Here is a 20,975-nt window from a genome sequence, read left to right as displayed (position 1 = left end):
CGTGAGCCATCGCGCCCAGCCTCCTTATGCACCTTGATTACAGGTCTCGACACGCTATGTTGAGAGTAACTGTTTTCATGTCTGTTTCCCCCACCGGGTCTCCTGGGAGCATCTTTCATCCTTCATGCCTAGCACAGCCTAGAATCACATACTGGGTGTTCAGTAAATGTTCCTCATGGCAATTGAAATAACAAGGCTTAGGGAAAATTTAGGGGGAGTTTACACTGAATCTGACGACAGAGAACAGAGTCTGGCAGATAGTAAGCCCCAAACACGGATGACAATTGTGTTTTGTTGTGTTGTGTTGTGTTGTGTTGTGTTGTGTTGTGTTGTGTTGTGTTGTGTTGGAGAGGCAATGTGGCTAAGCGCCTGGCCTCTGGAAGCCAGATTGCCCGCACTTGAAACCTAGCTGTATCATTTTGCCACTGGTGTGACCGTGAGCAAGTTATTTAACCACTCTGTGCCTGTTTCTTTCTGTGTAAAATGAGGGAAATAATCATAACTGCTTTCATGGGGTTGAAGAGAGGATTTAATGAAATAATATATGTAAAACATGTCTCAGAATAGCGCCTGTTATGCAGCAAGGCATAGCAGCATTGGCTGCTAGTATTATAACTGTTTTCATCATTGCTATTATTGCACAATGTTATGAGACACCAACAAGCAACCCCTGCATCCCGGGGGATCAGACTTTGCTTCCTAGAGAAGCTTTCCCATGTATCAAGCAAGGCAGGAAGATATGATTCCTGCAGGCCCCTCCCAGCAGGCTGCACACCTGGGAAGAAAGGCAGAATTGATTTCCTTATCTGCTTATTAAGCGTGTTTTGCCTGGGCCCTGGCCTGGTCTTAGTGCCGTATCTCATTTGTGCTATGTGGCTGTTTCCTGCAACATTCATTACCCTGCAATCACCCCCAAATAGCGGTAGCAAACGAGCCAGAGACGGAAGACAGGAGCAGAAAACATCCTTATCTCCTGAGGTTCCACATGGGAGCTGTGTCGGAGCTATTGTACATCTCGCTCCCCCTACACACACCCCACCCCTGCCACCAGCTCGCTCCCAGCTCCCTTCCTGGTAGCCCAGACTACCCCCATGTCCCCTGGGCCAGAAGCAGATTCCCCTCCTCTTTCTCCCTTTGGCCACTGACACCACCTTAGCCTCCCATCTAACTCGGAGCTCACCTGCTGGGCAGGTGATAAAGTGAGCAGAGCTGGGGGCCATGAAGGGTATCTGAGGCTGACATATAGTCTCTCACCTCTAAGTTATATTATAGCTCCCTGAGGTCCACCCTGTGGGTTCAATGCCATAATGCCACGCTGAGTAGTTGCTGTTGGGGGCCAGATGAGATAGAAGGTCTCCCTGGAGGTCTTGCAGCCATTGAGTTGAGGTGTGCGGGTCGCCCCAGCCCTGCCCTCCTGCTGCACTCCAAGGTCGCCCCCCACAATCTCCCTGCCCCCATAATCTGCATGTTACCATGGGCAGGCATGGCCTCTGTCTCTTTACCCACTCCATCTCCCATCCTCATCACAGCCTGGCTGGATGTCAAAACTCTCCCCCAGCCTGGGGTCGTCCCTCATGTTGGGAAATGAGGTGGGGGCAGGACACTCAAGCATTAAACGACTTCCAAGGCCCGGAGGAAGAGAGGATCCCTCAGGGATGGAGGCAAACTCAGCGCATCTTTTCCCTTCCCTGCCTGAGTGTGGAGAAGGGCAGGCAGGAGCCTCTCCAAGAAGGAGAAGACCTGATGCAAGGAATGCACAGCCCCACCCTACCCCAGCCAGTGCCACCATGAGCGATTTCTGGAGGGGCCCAGAAGCTCGACACTGCCTATCCAAGTGCCCACTCGCCACTGAAATCTGGGGGTAGCTTCCCAAATGACCATGCCCAGGGCCAGCCCCCATACCCCCCAGCATCTTTTGCTCCCAACACCAGGACAAGGGAAGCTGGGGAGGTTCTTAGGAGCCCACTCATGGTCTACTGCTTATGGTAGGGGTTCAGCCTCCTGCTGTTGCCTGGCCCCAGTGGCTGCACCCCCATCACCAAGAGACAGGCTCTTCAGGGCAGCCCTGGGAAGTTCTGGAGTGTGTCACCACCATCCCCAGGGCATTGGAAACTCTCCAGACCCAAGCAGGACAAACGGCCCTCACTGGGGAGCTGGGACGCATTCACTCCTGCCCCAGTCCTGCCACCATCCAGCTGTGAGACAGGGGCTGATGATGCTTAATCTCTCAGGGCCCGCCCTCTCCATGGTGGAGCCAGTAGCAGGAGAGATGAAGTGTTAAACCCACTTCACGGGTTGACTGTGATTCTCTCTCATTTGCTCATGGTTTGGGGTTGGGGCATGAGAGGCATTGTTCCCTGAGTTCCTCTTCCCTTCCTCCTGAGAGCAAGGATAATATACCCTTCAGCTGCTGGAACCAAGCGTGACCCTGGGAGATGCTGAGCAGGCTCAACTGCTCAGCAAAAAGTGAGCTCAGACTGTGGAGATTTGCAAAAGTCAGGACCTCGATCCTCGGGTGTCTGCCATTTGACATGGAATCATCAGCTCCAGGGCTGCAAGTGAAATCTAAGCCCCTTCCTATAACATGCGGGGGGCAGCTGCCTGGAGGAGGCCCCTCACCCACTTACCCCTCATACGGCTGCTCCTCAGGCCTGGGTATCTCTTTCAGCATCCCCACAAGCCTGCAAAAGCACAGCAAGAGCCCACCTCTGTCCTGGTGCCCTACTGGGATCCTCAGTCTGGAAGCCCCGCTGGCCACTGGCCATTGACAGGATTCCCCATTTATGTGCCAATCATAAGGATACACACATGGACAGCTTCGCCTCAAGGACAAATGCGCTGGTGCACGCAGGTACTTAACACACACACCTCAGAGCCAAATCATCAGTGTCGCCCTGATAGAAAGACACAAGAACATCCGGTCAGGGGATCAGTCACTGTTAGGAAATGGACACATTCTTGGAGGCCTGAAGTACTGACCCTCACTCCTTGTCAGGCCCAGGAAAGAGGGGGGTAATGGAAGCACAGACTCATCGGCATGAGGCCCTGTTTCTCTACTGATTCCCCCTCATCTCATGAAATGGAGGAGGAACAGAGCCAGAGCCAACTGAGGGAGGGGCAGGCCAGCCAGTCCCACGTGTGTGTTTACCCCTGTCCCAGCTCCAGCTTCCTGGGCATCCTGGGTGTCAAACCCAGGACGCTGTCTGAGGCCCGCCCTGGGGGAAGCCCAGGGGAGCTGCAGCTGCACAGGGAGCCCTCTGAGGGCTAAAAATAACCCGCCGCTTCTCCGTTCCGACCTCAGCCCAGGCCCAAAACAAGGGTTTCACAGCAAATTATGGATTTAAAACTGGCAATGAATCTCCATTACAGCATGAAATGAGAAAGGAAAATGCCACTAAATGGAAGCCTTCCCCCCGGCAGCCAGTGGGGTGACGGAGGGGTGTCATCCTCAGAGGGAGTTTAGGGACAAAGTCACACAACCCAAGGCAGACTCGCGGAGGCCAAGCCTGGAGAGAAAGAGAGGTCCTGGAAGATTGGCAGGGGCCAGAGCCTAAGGGAGCCCCCACTGTTTCGGGGCAGGATAGGACACCACAGAAGCAGAAGACGCAATGCCCATGAGCCGGGAGCCAAGACTAACAGCTATGGTCAGTGTCCTGCAGAGGAAAGATGCATTGCTGCCTTTGGAGTGGGAATGGCCACAGCTTTGTTATCTTGCTGCTGTGAGGGGACCTGTGTTGTAGGTCCAGTGGAGAGAGGTGTTTGGGGACCCATGACCGACTGCCTCTCCAGGCAGCCTGGGGGGTCCACTCTTTGTATAGCTCTTTTTTTTTTTTCTTTGAGATGGAGTCTCCCTCTGTCGCCCAACCTGGAGTGCAGTGGCGTGATCTCAGCTCACTGCAACCTCTGCCTCCCAGGTTCAAGCAATTATCTTGCCTCAGCCTCCCAAGTAGCTGGGACTACAGGCGTGAGCCACTGCGCCTGGCCTGTGTAGCTCTTGAAACCACTCCTCATCATGGCATACCTGGTGACATCCCTGCAGACTCTAGAGATGGAGGCACAACCAACAACTCTCTGTTCTGCTCCAACACACACACACACACACACACACACACAGCACTGCAGATCTCCAGGGAGCCCAGCCACTGGCCCTTGTGTGTTCCTCTCCTCCCAATTTCAGCCATTTACTTCCCTATGTGCACTAGCCCTGGAGGCACCAGGACAACTGTCATGATTTAACTCAGGCCATGGGAGATGGGAGTAGATGAAGAGGAGCAACAGCAGAGAGAGAGTTGAGCAGTCAGTATCTCCAGCAGCACCAGACCCAATCCTTGGCCTGGGCAGCCTGTGATTGGTCAGCACCATGGCCAGTGCAAAGTCCCTGAAGTCTAACAGGGACGCAGTGCCTGTAAAAGACATAAGAGAGATACTGTGTACACAATTTTTAAAAATGAGGAGGTTCAGCTCACTAGAGAGAAGATGTAGGGGAATAGGGTCCCTCCCAAATATCTAAAGAAGCACAATAGATTTACTCTGGAGCTCCGGAGGATGGAAACAGAGCCAGGGTAGCTGGGCACAGTGGCTCACACCTGTAATCCCAGCACTTTGAGAGGCTGAGGCAGGTGGATTGCCTAAACCCAAGAGGCAAAGGGTGCAGTGTCTGGTCAACAGTGAGACCCCTATCTCAAAAAAAAGGAAGGAAGGAAGGAAGGAAGGAAGGAAGGAAGGAAGGAAGGAAGGAAACAACGTCAGGGAGGACATTTCTTATCTCAACAATTAAAACTAACAGAGTTCAGTTAAGTAGTAAGCTTCCTGTCTCTGGGAGTATTCAAGCAGAAGCTGAGTTTTCTTGCATGCTGTTTCTATAGGAAGGAAATAGATTCATCTCCAGAGATGAGATGATGGCAGCAAATCTGCCAGTTCTGGAGCTGAGTGAAGTCATGGGCTGGCCCAAGAGAGGGGAAGATTCAGAGAGAAGAGAGCCAGAACCATTTAAGGATGTTCCTTTCCTATCCAGCTGTCCCCAGAGCAGTTTGTTGCAGGCTCTGCCCAGACAATTTCAGCCCCAGGTGAAATATTAGCCCAGATCCAAAGTTCTCAATTTGAGCAGTGTGTGTTTTCTTTTTTTTCTTTTTTTCTTTTTTCTTTTTTTTTTTTTTTTTTTTTTTTTTTGAGACGGAGTCTTGCTCTGTTGTCCAGTCCAGGCTGGAGTGCAGTGGCACAATCTCGGCTCACTGCAACCTCTGCCTCCCAGGTTCAAGTGATTCTCCTGCGAATCTCCTGGGATTACAGATGTGCACCACCACGCCCAGCTAATTTTCTGTATTTTTAGTAGAGACAGGGTTTCACCATGCTGGCCAGGCTGGTCTTGAACTCCTGACCTCAGGTGATTCCCCCGCCTTGGCCTCCCAAAGTGCTGGGATTACAAGTGTGAGCTACCACGCTGGGCCCAATTTGAGTGCTGAGATATGTTGGTGCCTCTGTGGTGGCAGGATGCCACAAGGCAGGAAAGTGACAGATAGTTGGAAGCTGTTGACTTTAATTCAAAACTTTACCATTCTGCAAACTGCTGGCAAAATCTGGGTCCATCATGGGAATGTCACATTTATGAACACACACAGAATGGCTGGGGAAAAAAAGGAAAAAAGAGGATGGAGAACCTGATATGTTCTTCCTAATGTCAACCTCATGACCTACATACCAGCTAAAATAATGTCTCAGAGTTTGGACAGAACGTGAAAAGGTCAGGCAGTGAGTGTTCAACACAGCTACCTTCCTGGAGGAACTCCACCTGAAGCCAAGCTTGGAGGGTGGCAGAGACGTGATTGAGTATGAAGGAGGGGTGAGGGCATTCCAAGACTGAGAGTTCACCTGGGTGAAAGAGCAAGGTGAGAATCAGTCCAGGCAGAACAGGGCTTGTGAGTGAGGGTCCCCAGCAGGAGCAGAAGGTATATCCCATGAAATGATGAGAAACGGTGGCATGATGTCAGAGCAAAAAGCTGGGGGGTTCATCAGAGATAAGATGCTCATGCCTAGGAGACTGGCTTTCACTCATGAGAAGTTCTGATAGGTACTAGGAAAGACAGGGACTGGACACAGCTTCAAAGCCCCCATTCAGAGGTCCTGATGGTCCCAGACTCCGGGAGCTGCACCCTGCATGTGCCCCACTAGGCAGGGATGAGGAGATCTAAGTTCAGCCACACCTTCTATGCACAGAAAGGGCAGCTTGTGAGTTGCTCGAGTGGAGAGAAGAGAGAAGGGCAAGGGTGACGCTGGTGAGCTGCCACTCTATGACAGGCACTGTGCTGAGGAACCCACTCGCATGCCTTCATCTGCCCTCTGACCAGCTCTGCCAGGCAGGTCCCGTGTCCCCTTTTACGGACGAGGAAGCTGAGACATAGAGGCTCATTACCTTGCCCAAGGTCACACACAAGAAAGGTAAAGAACGAGAATCTGAATGCAGTCGCTTCTGGCTCTGAAACCCTGGCCCTTTATGCTCAATTATGCCCCTCCTCTTTTCCAAACTCCACTCTCTCTGCTGCCTGACTCCCCCTAAAATCATCACTATGAAACAGGTTTCTTCCTAGCCCCTGGGAACTCCAGGAGCCCTGCTTGAACCCTTCCACCATCCCAGGGCTCATGGAATCGGGGAGTCGGCTCGAAGAGCAAACCCAAGGCTTCCAAAAACCCTTCCTGGCAGCCCCTCCTCCTCAGATGGACCTGGGGAGCCCCGAGACCCGCAGCATTCATTTGCCATCCCATTCAGTATCATCCTCTGGGCGGCCACCTGCCGCGTCTTTCTCCATCACTCTGAGCCTCTAAATTGTTCTGTCCGTGTGAAGGAGGTTTTTCCAAGGGGGAGGTTCATAGGCACCCAGAAGCCTCCATCTCACAAAAATAAATAGCTGAGTCCCACAACCCGAAAAAACTGGCTTCCAAAAAATGTGTCACACTTTCACAAGTCGATCCAGGTGTTTATAAATGTTTATATAAAGGAAGAGGTTTTCATGTGAAAATATGTCAGAAACAATGTTAGCAGCTGAGAGATCACCCAGCAGCTTCAGTGGTGCAGGCAAGAAAGGGAGGAGAAGGCTGATGGCCACACAGCCACCCCCCAGGAAGGACTATCTCTGCCCTACCCCCAATCCCACTGCTCCCTTCCCCTTTGTCGCACACAAACGAAGTCACTAGGCTGCTGGAGAGAACTCATTTTAAAGATGCGTCAACTAAGGTCAACAAAGGAAATAGCTAGAGGCAGCACGAGGCATGGGCAAGGGAGAGCTGGTCCTCTTACTCTTCCAGACAACGCTGAGCCCTAGCCAGGGTCCCCCGGGACTTCCCCGTCTCACGTCCAGGTTCAGCCCAAAATGCCAACATGGCCTGGGCAACAGGTCTGCTAAGAAACACAAGAAGATGCCAGAAAGACCCTCAAAAACCTTTGATTAGATAATTTTAGAGATGAAGGAGCCCTTTAATCCAGAATTCTTCATTCATTTCATCTTTCAGCATCTGTATATGTGCCTTCCACATGCCAGGTACTGTTCTAGACCCTGAGAATATACATTAGCGATGAAAACAGACTTGAAACTCCTACCTCCGCGAACCATATTGTAGCGGAGGGAGTTAGACGAAAAACATAACAAGAAAACTTTATAGTGTATTAGAAGGTGATCAATGCTATTCAAAAAAAGTAGAGCAGAGTGTGAGGGGTTGGGTTTCCTAGGGAAAGGAGGTGTTGAGAGGTTGGAATAGACCTCATGGGGAAGTGGCCTTTTTCTTTCCCCTTATTTTTTAACAGCTTTATTTGGGTAAACTCTACATTATCATTAAATTCATCCATTTTAAGTGTACAACTCAATTATTTTTAATAAATTTATAGAGTTGTGCAACCACCCCCACAATCCAGTATTAGAACATTTTCATCACCCTAAAACGATCCCTTGTCAATCCTCACTCCCACCCAGTCTCAGGCAACCAATGCAGTGCTTCTTGGATTTGGCTTTTCTGGATATATGGTATGAGTAGAATCATATCATATGTGGCCTTGTGTGTCTAGCCCCTTTCTCTTGGAAAAATGTGTTTGAGATTTGTCTGTATTGTAGCATGTATCTGTAGTTCACTTCTTTTTATTGCTGAATAGTATTCCATTATATGGATATACCACATTCTGTTTATCCATTCGCCAGTCGGCAGACAGTCGGATTGTTTCCAGTTTGGGGCTATTATAAAGAATGCTGCTGGCCAGGTGTGGTGGTTTACACCTGTAATCCCAGCACTCTGGGAGGCTGAGACACGTGGATCACTTGAGGCCAGGAGTTCAAGACCAGTTTGGCCAACATGGCAAAATCCAATCTCTACTAAAAATACCAAAAACAAAAAAAAAAAATTGTTGCTATGAACATTCACAAACAAGTCTGTGTGTGGCTATATGTTTTCACTTTTCATGAGTAGATTCCTAGTAGTGGAATGGCTACATAATATGGAAAGTTTATGCTCAACTTGTTAAGAAACTGCCATGCTGTTTTCCAAAGTGGCTGTATCCATTCCCACCAGCAATAAATGAGCATTCCAGTTTCTCTACATCCTTGCCAACACTGTTACAGGTTTCAAGTGGTATCCATTATGGTTTTAATTTGCATTCCCCTAATGAATAAGGATGTTGAGCATGTTTTGATGTGATAATTATCCATTTGTGTATCTTCTTTGGTAAAATGTCTATTCAAATATTTTGCCTATTTTTAAATAGAATCATTTGTCTTACTATGTTATAGGAGTTCTTTATAGCCAGGATACAAGTCCTTTACCAGATATACGACTTGCAAATATTTTCTCTCAGTTTGTAGTTTGCCTTTTCGTTTACTTAATGGTGTCTTATGAAGCACAAAAACTTTTAATTTTAATCAAGTTCAGTTTGATAATTTTTTCTTATAGATTGTGTTTTTGATATTGTCTCTAAGAACTCTGCCTAATCAAAGGTCACAAAGATTTACTACTGTATTTTCTCCCATAAGTTTTACAAGTTTAGTTTTTATATTTAATCTTGGTGCATTTTAAGTTTTAGTGATTTGTGAAGGCCCTAAATTCATTTTTGCATACAGATATCCAATTGTTCCGACATCATTTGTTTAAAAAGACTATCCTTTCCCACAGTGAATTTCAAAATGGTTCCAGCTATTTTAGGTCCTTTGCATTTTCATATGAATTTTAGGACTAGTCTGTCAACATCTGCAAAAAAATGGTTGCTGGAATTTTGATAGGAATTGCGTGAAAGCTATAGATCAATTTAGAATTAATTGCCACCTTAACAATATTGAGTATTCCCATCCATGAACATGGAATGCCTCTTTATTTTTTTACGTCTTCAATTTTTCTCAGCAGTGTTTTCTAGTTCTCAGTGTACATCTTGTACTTCCTTTGATAAATTTATCCCTAAGCATTTTATTATTTTTGATGCTACTGTGAATGAAATTTTCTTAATTTCATTTTTGGATTGTTCATTGCTAAGATTATATATAGATGGTGTATCTATATATACACACAATTAATTTTTGTGTATGACTGTTGGATCTTGCTAAACTCATTTTTTTTTAAAGAGATGGAGTTACACTCTTGTTGCCCAGGCTGAAGTGCAATGGCACAATCTCAGCTCACTGCAACTTCTGCCTCCTGGGTTCAAGCAATTCTTCTGCCTCAGCCTCCTGAGTAGCTGGGATTACAGGCATCCACCACCACGCCTGGCTAATTTTTCATATTTTTAGTAGAAATGGGGTTTCACCATGTTGGCCAGGCTGGTCTCGAACTCCTGGCCTCAAGTGATCCACCGGCCTCAGCCTCCCAGAGTGCTGGAATTACAAGTGTGAGCCACTGTGCCTGGCTGATAAACACATTTTTTAAACCTAATAGTTATTTGTAAATTTAAGATTTTCTGCATACAGGAGCATTTTGTCTGTGAAGAAAGATAGTTTTACTTTGTCTTTTCCAACCTAATGCATTTTTGTCTTATTGCACTGGCTAGAACTTACAGTACAATGCTGAATAGAAATGGTGAGAGCAGACATTCTGGCTTTGTTTCCAATCTTAGGGGAAAGCATCCAATCTTTCACTATTTTAAAGTATAATGTTAGCAGAAAATGTTTCACTGGTGACCTATATCAGGTTGAGGAAGTTTTCATCTGTTCCTACTTTGTTGAGAGTTTTTACTACACATCGTGTTGGGTTTTGTGAAATGTTTTTTTCTGCATCTATTGAGATGATAATATAGTTTTATTTATTACTCTATTAATATAGTGTATTACAGTAATTGATTTTCAGATGTTAAGCCAACCTTGAATTCCTGGGATAAAAATCCCATGTGGTCATGGCATATAATCTTTTTTTATATGTTGCTGGATTCAGTTTGCTAATATCTTAAAGGGTTTTTATCTAAATTCATGATGGACAATAGTCTATAGTTCTCTTTTCTTATTATGTCTGTCTGGCTTTAGTATCAGGTAACACTGGTTTTGTAGGATGAGTAGGGAAGTGTTTATTCCTCCTCTATTTTCTAGAAGATTTCACAAAGGATTGATATTATTTGATAGAATTCACCAATGATGCCATCTGGGTCTAGGGCTTTCTTTATGGGAAGATTTTTATTAGTCCAATCTCTTTACTTGATATAGGTCAATTCATATTTTTCCTCTAGAAGCTGACTTTGTGTAAACAAAGACTCATAGAAGTGACGAAGTCAGCTGTGGATCTTAGAGCCAAATTTCTATTTGAAGAGAAAATCACTCATGGAAGGGTTCTCAATAGAGGATCGATGGGATCTGAGTGATATTTTAAAAGACTCACCCTGGCTGCTAGGTTGAGAAGAGACCATAAGAGGACAAGGGAAGACAAGAGCCTCTGTTAAGAGGCTCTTGCAGTAATACAGAGAAGAGATGAGGGACTCAGGCTGGAATAGCAGCAGCAGAGATAGTGGACAGTTACTATGAGAGAAAGAGAGGGGTCACAGATGATGCCAAGGTTTTTGGTGTGGGGCCTTTTATCCCTACAAAGCTTGGACGCAATATTCAGAATATATGTGCACATTTCTGGGGAGTGGTTTCACATTCTCAAAGGAGTCATTCAGTAAGTCCCCAAAAGTTTAAAGTTTAAAATTTAAGATAATCCAGACCAATGTCTTAGCTCAGGCTGCTATAACAAATACTATAGACTGGGTGGCTTAAACAACAAGCATTTATTTCTCCAGACTGTGTCTGGAGCCTGGAAGTTTGAGTTAAGGGTTCCAGCATGGGAGAAAGAGGGAGAGGGAGAAAGAGGAAGAGGGAGATAAAGGGAGAAAGAGAGAGAGGGAAGGAAGGAAGGAGAGAGAGAGACAGAGAGAGAAGGAGAGGGAGGGAAAGAGGGAGAGGGAGATTCTCTCTCTTCCTCTTTCAAGGGCACTAATTCCATCAGGAGGGTTCCACCCTGATGAGCTTAATTACCTCCCAGTATCTAACCCTAATTACCTCCCACATCATCACAATGGAGGTTAGAGTTGCAATATATTAACTGCAGCCGGAGGCCATCACAAACATTCAGTCCACAGCAAACCACCTCTTTGTTTTTAGGAAACTATGGCTCAGAAGGGTTGGGTTCCTTCCCCATGGCCACCCAGCTAACTAGTTGTAAAGCTAGGGCTACCCAAATGTTTTTTATACCACACTGGAGACTTGCCTAGTGCTGCATAATCAGAACCCCTCCCCCTCAACAAATGAAACCCATTCGTCCCTGCCTGGATCCCCTAGGGGCATCTAGGGGAGAGAGCAGATGTTTAGAGATGGTTCCTCCTCTGCTCCCAGGCCAGGGTACCTACCCGAGTGCCCACATCCACCTTAACAGCCACCTGCCCCCTACTCCATTGCTGCCTTTGGTCCACCCAGGATCCACAGGCTCGGACGCCCCCCACCAGGAAGATCTGAGACAGAGCCTTTCTGCCAGCAACACTCCCTTTTCACACCAAACCATAGAAAAACAGCAGCTTATCTAAGAGAATGAGAGCCCTTGGTTTCTATCTGTGTGGCAATCTTATCTAAACAGGTTCAGGTGGCAAGAACGAGGGAGGAAAAATAATCAAGGGGAGGCAGGTGAAATGCTGACATTATTATTACTTAAGCGCTGCAAAGCTTTTAGTTCATGTTTTTATACTGGTGACACCCAATGAGGGAGAAATCAGCTTGGCCGATTATCTGAGCCGCACACCAGCTCACCCCACCTCCTTGCCACCTGTAAATCTTATTAAATGGATTCCATCGCAAGAGAGAAAAATAATTAAGGCGAAGGCAGGTGAAATGTTGATGTTATTACTGTAATGCAACAGCCTGCTTAGTTTCTACACCAATGAAATGCAACTGAAGGAAATCAGTTTTAAAGATCACCTTTTGGAGATGCAAATCGGAGAGCCAGAAGCTGGGCTTAGAGAAGCAAGAGGTGTCAAACTAGGAAACATTTCCAAGTCTGCGCCAGTCTCTTAGGGGCTTTTAAGTCCACAATTTACCTTTCGACTGCATTCTATTTTCTTGCAAATACTTTATTTCCCACTTATTTATTGACTAGAGAGACACAGCACCAAAAGAGAAAAAGGAAGAGTGATTCTCCAGCTGCTGGTCTTAAAAATCTATAGCAGAAAATGGTTCTCCAGAGGGAGGTTTTTAGCACTCGCTGTGAACCAGGGCTTAATTGAATTGCTTTCCCTCTGAGGTGTGCCTGCCCAGAAGGGACAGCTTCTTCTGACTGTGCCTGGGCAGGAGGAGCTGTCCTGTTTCCTCTTGCCAGGAGGAGTGGAGGAGGGGCTGTGGGCAGCACAGCCAGGACAGGTCCCAGGAGCTCTCAAACTGTGCTTCCCTAGCTGGTGTGCTGGTCCAGTGCGGTGAGTGGATGCATCCCCTGTGCTAGGCAGCATGAGATCTGCCCAAGGTGAGACCCTTTTCAAGTGGGCAGAGAACTTTTGAATGGCTGAACCTGGATTCATATGCAGCAGCTGACAATTAAGGGGAGGCCAGGGCAGGCACATGGATGGATCCGGTTAGCTTCCGGAGTATCTGTAGAGTTTTTTACATTCATTATCCATGTTTAAGATTCTGGGGGGTTTTATATTAAAAAAAAATTCTGATTTCTGGCTTCTCTTACAAAGACCTGGTCAGTTTATGCCTGTTTGCCTGCTTGCAAACAATTATGTAATGGCTGCTCCCTTGGGCGGGATGTGGCCCACCAGTCCCCACTCGTCCGTGCTTACCTTGGCACCTGGGTGCATGTAAGTCACTGGTATCGATGTTTTCCACCCCTCACCTGGCCCACCCCAGACATGGACCTGCCTTCAGGGAGCTCACAATGTGGGTGGGGGTTGAACTAGGAACAGAAGCGGGAAAAGGAGGCAAAGGCAGGCAGAGGCAAGCAGTGCCCAGGGCCAGGCGAGTTGGCAAGTGTAGGCTTTAAGGAGGGTTTAAGTGAGTTTGAAAGCATGAGTGGAATTTGGACAAATTAATTGATTTGTCATAGATGAGTGGGCAGTGTGTTCCTTCCCTGCTAATAACTGCCCTATTTTAAAGAGCCCAGAACTTGGAGTTGAACAGCCTGGGTTCAAATCCTAGCTTTGTCACGCACCGCCTGGGATGAAAATGCTCCCTGCAATGTGTAGCACATCAACAGGACCCAGGACGGGCTGCGGTAGAATCTGCTCGACCTGCGCTCTGCCTTCCCCACCTGGGCACCCTCGCTCCCCAGAGGAGCCTCCTTAGTCTCTAAGACTGCACCCCAGGCCCCAAGCTGGCTCCTCTCCCTCTGCAGCCCCGTCTTCCCCTCTTAAAGATGTGAACATGGAGGAAATGAATAGGCTTTAGAACTACAACCGAGGCGTTCAAGCTAGGGCCAGAGCCAGGCTGACTCCTGGGTTTGCCTGGGTTCACCCAACTGAGCTTCCTGCCTGCAGCCTCAGCCAGTCCTCCTGGACTCCTCAGACGTGCAGAGAAAAGTGTGGGACGGACCAGCTGTCCACCAGTAGTGTCCTTGCACTGGAGATATCCTGCCTCGCACAAGGCTCACAGCAAGGAAATGAAACCCAGAGGAGGAGGCTGGGAGAGGCAGAGCCAGGAAAGCTACACGGAGATGTCTCGGCAGCGGGTGGAGGGCGTCAGAAGGGGAAAGGCTGACATTTGGGATCCGCATGCAGATGCAAACAGGTGGACAAATGCAACAGACCAGCAGCAGCCATTCAAGAAGCTGTGAATGAAGTAAATTATACTTGAACTCCTCACATGGTCAGAGCGTGGCATTTCCCCACTTAGTCTCCCATTCTGGTTAACAGAGTTATGAGTATGCTGATCTGGTATCAGCACTGAAAAAAATAAGAATGCAGTGAAAATATATACTGTTTTTCTTTTCTTTTTCTTTTTTTTTTTTTTTGAGTTAAAGTCTCACTCTGTTGCCCAGGCTATAGTGCAGTGGTGCGATCTCAGCTCACTGCAACCTCTGCCTCCTGGGTTCAAGCAATTATCTTACCTCAGCCTCCCAAGTAGCTGGGATTACAGGTGCCCGCCACCACGCCCAGCTAATTTTTGTACTTTTTGTAGAGACGGGGTTTCACCATGTTGGTCAGGCTGGTCTCGAATTCCTGATCTCAAGTGATCCACTCGCCTCGGCCTCCCGAAGTGCTGGGATTACAGGCATGAGCCACTGTGTCCAGCCACATCCTGTTTTTCAACTAAATTAATGTGAGTCGCTTGTAGCCAGGCTCACCAGACACCAAGCAGGCTTTGAGTCTGGACTCTCCAGGCTGCCCTACATAGTGGTGGCTCCAAGGTCTCTCAGCTGAGATGCACCAAGCCACTAGCCACAGTGGCTATTTAAATTTAAATTAATTCAAGTTAAATAAGACTAAAAATACAGCTCCTCAGTCAGTCACGCTAGCCTCACATCAGGTGGCTTTGGGGAGGCTGAGATTCCTGCAACTACTGGCCAAATTCCACCTAATCGTACTCCGACAACCCAACAGCATCTAATAATAAAGACAGGTTCAAGGATCTGGACCTGGGGAACTAGAGGTCGGCTTCCCAGAAGCATTTACATTGAAATCATAGTGCAGTCAGTGGGTAGAAGCTTCCCATTAATACATTCACTCGTTTATCCTTCACATCTTTATTAAATGCTTACGATGTGCAAAAGCATTGTATCAGACCCAATGGGAAGATGCAGAAATAGCAAAATGCCCTCTGTGCCCTCAAGGAGTTTACTGCCAAAGGAGGGAGAAGACATAAACAACTCACTACCATCCCAGGCAGGATAAAAGAAGCCCTCGAATATATAAGCACAATACTGAGGAAGTGTTCATTTCAACTCAGAAAATCTGGGATGACTTCACAAGACTTCAGTAACAAGACTTCAGTAACTACCGAACTCTCCCTTGGTAGAATGGGTAGGATTTTAGCAGCTGGAAAATGAAAACGTAATCATAGCAACAAAATCAAAGGCACAGAAAGATAGACGCCCACCCTGCCCCCACTCCCTAACGTGAGCGTTTGGGATGTTTGGCGTGCAATGCTTGAGCAAGTGTAGTCGGATGTCAGCCCAGTCAACAGGTTGGGGCTCAGTGGAAAGGGCTTTGAGCCACGCTGGAGCATCTGAATTTGGCTGTGGGCAGTGTGGAGCCGTCCTAGGTGTTTAAGAGAGCTCATCGCCTGATCCGAGGGTCCCAGGAACAGAACCATGCAGGGTATGGGGCGTGAATCTGAAGGCAGGGAAGTGTTGGGTAGTTAGGTCCTGTTAACAGAAAGTAAGTAGGGCAACCGGGAGTTTGCAGATGCTTACTAACGATGAAAAAGAAAGGGGAAGTCCCGAGGCAGGAGGCACTAAAGTGGGGCGGAGAGTCACCCAATGGATTTTCGTTAGCCAGGGGACTCCTAGGTAAAGCCTTTAATCCCATTCAATGCAATGACGATTCCAGCAGAAATATCCCATGCTGCCTGAGCAACGCACAGCTTTTTTTTTTTTTTTTGAAACGGAGTCTTGCTCTGTTGTCCAGGCTGGGGTGCAGTGGCACAATCTCGGCTCACTGCAACTTCCGTCTCCCAGGTTCAGGTGATTCTCATGCCTCTGCCTCCGAGTAGCTGGGATTACAGGCATGTGCCACCACACCTGGCTAATTTTTGCATTAAATGCTGGCCATGTTGCCCAAGCTGGTCTCAAACTCATGACCTCAGGTGATCCACCCGCCTCCACCTCCCAAAGTGCTGGGATTACAGGCGGACCCACTGCACCTGGCCCACACAGCTTCTTTAATGATCCAGAAGTTTCCGTGCGTCGAGGTCCTGAGCCTGTGAAGAACTGGCATTTACTGAGGGCCCACGCAGGTGCTCCTGTGGGAGGGGGACTCAACCTTAGGTGCAGAAGGGAAGGTGCTCCTCCCAGGAAGCAGGATACTGGGACGCCAGGCCAGCTCTGTCCCCATGGACACACCATTCCTCTCATCACTGAGTCTCCTCTGCTTGTCGTCACAGGGTGCCAGGTCACGGGCCCCTTCCCCTCCTGGCTGTGACACTTGGCATGCCCCGGAGACCATTAGCACCTCTCTGGGAATATTTAACTGAAAACAATTTCTAGTCGGGATCTTTTATAATTACTAATTAGATCTGATTATAATTATCTCTCGCTGCCACCCCTTACCTGACAGACAGGATAGTGTGATGCCTAGCGACAATTAGCAGCAGGTCTTTCCTGATACACTGGCTGATTAGGAACACAATCGCAGGGTCGGGGGGAAGAGCCTGGCTTATTAAAGAGAGGCTGCTGTTTACTGAGGAATGTTATGAGCAAATTAGATTAAAATTAATGAGGGGGAAACTTGGAGTGAGAAAATGGGCGTTTTCTTTTTCTTTTTGTCTTAGCTGATGACATCATTTTGGGGGAAGAAAGTAAATCCTCTTTTGTGCTACCCCTCTCTTCCCCTCCTCGGGTTTTAGGGGTTTGATGGCCACCCCAACTCTGCCCCCTTTCACTCAATCAGCTTGGTCCAGACCAGTGTGATGCAGTAGAGCTACTAAGCAGGCTTACTGGCTGTGTGATTTGGGGCAAGTCATTTACCCTCTCTGAGCCTCTGCTTCCTTGTCCATAAAATGGAGAAGACACTTTTTACTGAGCCAGATGCCTGACTCACTTATCTGCAGGGCCTAGGAAGGTTAGGAAGGGGCTGTGTGTATTCCACGGGGGCCCACAAACTCTCTGGGGATCAGAGACCATGGCTTAATCCTCTTGGAATCTCCAGGCTCAGGCCCAGGCTTGGCACAGAGAAAGTGCTTGGTGACTGAAGGAGGAGCTACACTAAACTCCCACCCAGGACCGGTATAGGGGCCCCTCCCTCCCCAAGAGAGCACCTGGAGGTGGGGCTGAACATTAGTAGGCATGCATCCATGTGCACTGGCGTGGCTTCTTCATCTGGTGAGAAAAATCAGTGACTTCTCAGTTCAAGCAGCTTACCAGAAGTGGGAAGGCTGAGAGCCCGCTGTGCAACCAGAAGAGAGTTTGCTCACTTCTCTGAGCTTGAGCATCTCCATCCAGAGAGAGTTCCCTGTGATAACAGATGCCAACTAGAATCTGAGCTGAAGAGCAGAGGTGAGCTCTAGCAGCTCTGGGAAGAGTGCGTTGTGGCCCTGCGGCCACTGTAGGCTGGTGCACTGGGAGACCAGAGTTATTTGTTGGAAATGCTCAAATTACCGGAAAGGCCTCCCTTTGACTTGCAATATGCTGGTGACTGGGAACAGAGATGGCAGGCACACAGAAAATGACCCCCCTTGGTGACATTTTGGGGAAAAGGGAGTCTCTCTCTCTCTGTCTTACTCTCTCTCGCTCTCTCTCTCTCTCACACACACACCCTGTCACACAGACACTCACACTGTCACGCACACACTCACACTGTCTCACACACACTCACTCTCACACACTCACACTCACACACACTCACACTCTCACACACTCTCTTACACATGCACACTCTCACACTCTCTCGCTCTCTCTCTGTCACACACACACACACACACACAGCCAAGCAGGCTTTAAGCCCAGGCACATGCAGAGCCTCACATGCCTCTGTGTCACGTGTGGTCCTGTATGCAGCTGCTCTGGCTAAGCACTGGACCCCACTCCCTGACAGGATTCCCAGGCTGGGGTGCATTTCCTTGGCCATTTCCCTACAGCAAGGGTGGGCCTCCTCCTCCATTGCTCAGTTCTGCCCACTCTCATTGGCCTCCAAGAAGCAATTCCGGGACATTGAGGCACTGGAGAACTGGCCCCAGCTTCCAGAGGCCCCAGAGAGAAGTCTCCTAGATTTGTGACCTATGTCTCAGTCCCCTGGCTGAGCCCAGCTTCCCCAGCCCTGACTCCCTGCCTACAGCCTCAGGCCTTGAGTTCGCACGCAGGCCCTCCAACATTTCTGAGCGCTTCTGTTTGGGTTTTGGCAGATACAAGAAGCCAAGAGTAGCCCTCAGTCTCTTGACACCTACCCCAGACTTAGCCTCCTTCTCCAGGAATGTCCCTCCACCCCACCTCCCAAGACCCTGTGGATGTGGTCTTCCTTCCCTTTGCCTCCATCACACCCACCCCTCCCTCCAAACTTGGCCAACACCTTGGGTTCTCATTTGTGAAGGGAGTGAGAAGAAATGGCAGCCATGGGGTGGCAGGGAAGGCACTGAACTTATCATGGGAATTCCTAGGCCCTAAGACTGGCCCTTTCATTTTTCAGCTGTGTACCCTTGTCCAAATCACTTAGCCTCTCTGACCCTCAGTTTCTTCATCTATAAAGTGAGGACTAAGAATGCCTGCCTTACCAGTGTTCAGGGTTCTGGTAAAGAGAAAGATGAACGTGTATAGAAAGCATTTTGCAAACAGCACAGTGCCTCTCAATGTTCCGAGCACAAAGTACCTTTGAAAGTTGACTGGCTAGTTCTGCAAAATCTGTCTGGTTGTCAATTTCTGCATAACAAATCACCTCCAAGCTCAGTGGCTTAAAATTACAGGAATCATTTCTTAGCTCTCACAGTTTCTGCAGGTCAAGAAACTGAGCCTGGCTTAGCTGAATGGTTCTGGATCTCTGCAATCAGACATAGGAGGGGCTGGGGTCACATGTCTGTTGCCTGGGCTATGCAGATGCAAACAGCTAGGGGCTGGAGCGCTGGGGTAGTAGCAGTGCAGATACTGAGAAAGGATGATCTGTGCATGTTTCAAAGGTGGAGCCCACAGCAATTAGGATACGAGAGAAAGGGCAAGTCAAGGACAATCCCAAGGTGTTTGGCCTGAGCTCCTGGTAGCATGCAGTTGCCATTTGCTGAGTGTCAGGACTAGAGTCCCAGTGTCCTGATCCTCAGGCTGCTGCACAGCACTGCCTTTTACAAGGAGAGCGGTGAGAAGGGCAGGGAGTGCCCACATGGGCTCAGAGAGGGCAGGTGAATCTCTGAGTGCCCCTCCTCCTCCATGGTCCTGACTGTGACCATAAGTTTCTGCTTATACCTGGTGTCACAGCAGGGAGGACACAACAGGGTCGCTTCCTTCCTGAGGCATCTGCTGCTGGGGTGGCGCTAGACCCGGAGGAGGAAGGCCAGGTATAAACAATAACTCAGGCCCTCATTCCTAGCAACACGTCCACACACACAACAGCCACAACCAGAAACCCGGCCAGCAAGGATGAGCGGAGACGAGGAACACAGACAGTCGAGGGAGGCTTTGGGGAGAAAGCAGAACCACCTGGGGTCAGGCAGGGAGGTCAGAGGGTGCTGGAGGTAGGGCGCAGAGAGGGAGGTTCATGTAGAGGATCTCTGGGGCTCAGAGGGCAAGAGAGGCTTGGGCCAGGGTACAGAGGGCCCGGAAGTCAAGCTGATGGGTCACACTGCACTCTGCAAACAAGGGAAAGCCACTGGGAGTTCCTGAAAGGCAAGGAAGAGCCAGTTTGCAGGCCCTGCCCTAAGTGTCCTCCTCCATCTGTCTCCTCCCTTCCTGCTAGTCCTTCCCCACACACAGCACAGCCCAGGGTCCGAGCAACAGACCTTGGGACTTGCCTGGAGGTCAGGGCCTAAGAGGGGCCAGCTAAGTGCTCAGTGCCCACTGGAATTGGCCAGTGCACAGCCTAGCCACCCTGGTTGAACCTCTCACTCCTCTCCAGACACCAACTTAGAGCCTACAGGAGCGTCTGCTCACCCGCTTCTCCCCGTCCCACGCCACCCGCATCCCTCAGGCCCGGGGCCCTTGTGGCCTGATTAAGGTGAGTGTCATCCCACAGGGGTCCCGATGGATGAGCTCGGTAGTGGCTGCCCGTCTCTGTCTGTGGGCCTCGGGAGCCCATCCATCTTTCCTTGGCAGCCTGCGCCTGTCCTAGCGCTCACCGCCCCAAAACAGTTTCAGGCCTGAACATGCCCCAGGTGGGTCCCAGGGCCCGAGGAGGGATCCTTTTCCATTTTATCCCCACCAAGGACAGGATAGAGAGGCAGCTTCCCTCTCTGGGAACAGAATAAAACTAAGTTCAGAGTGAGGCATCATTCTCAGGCACAAAATGTAAAGGGTACCCAAAGAATCAATAATCTAGACAAATAATATTTTAAAGCAATATTTTTAAAAATCCAAATGAATGTGAAAAAATCCATGATAAGCAAAATATCAAAATATTAGACAAAGATAGGATCAGCAACAGCACCAAGCCAAGTCACAATAGACCCTGCAGCAAGAGGGAAAACGTGCACCTCATTTATATTTTTAAAGTATTCTTTAAGTGGTAAATTTTTTCCAGAACATTGAAGTAGTTGGAAAAATATTGAAACATTTAAAAGCAGGTGTATTAAAATCCCCAACATTATGTTACACTTAAATATTTTATTTACAGCAAAAACAGAATGTATTTCATTTTACTTTCCTGGCTGTAATGGAAAATAACTCACCAGTAATAGTAATCATCTACTTCTTTGCTTATCTCATTTTCGACT

General features: G+C 48.5%; 1 protein-coding gene across 17 annotated transcripts in view, besides 1 other annotated feature; it reads left to right on the top strand.

The window, feature by feature from the left end:
• The window catches only part of KIRREL3 (kirre like nephrin family adhesion molecule 3), a 580,037-nt gene that overhangs the window by 488,234 nt on the left and 70,828 nt on the right, over positions 1-20,975 (top strand). The window lies entirely within an intron of this gene.
• Positions 20,024-20,794: an enhancer, noted in NCBI's record as "H3K4me1 hESC enhancer chr11:126364262-126365032 (GRCh37/hg19 assembly coordinates)". NCBI's record gives its function as "activates a minimal SCP1, AML or CMV promoter by ChIP-STARR-seq in primed H9 embryonic stem cells {active_cell/tissue: H9 hESC(primed)}" and the evidence as "EXISTENCE:reporter gene assay evidence [ECO:0000049][PMID:30033119]".

The sequence above is a fragment of the Homo sapiens genome, chromosome 11, assembly GCF_000001405.40.
Source record: "Homo sapiens chromosome 11, GRCh38.p14 Primary Assembly".
NCBI lineage: Eukaryota > Metazoa > Chordata > Mammalia > Primates > Hominidae > Homo > Homo sapiens.
The sequence above is the reverse complement of the archived record's forward strand: the minus strand, read 5'-3'. Positions and strand labels throughout refer to the sequence as shown.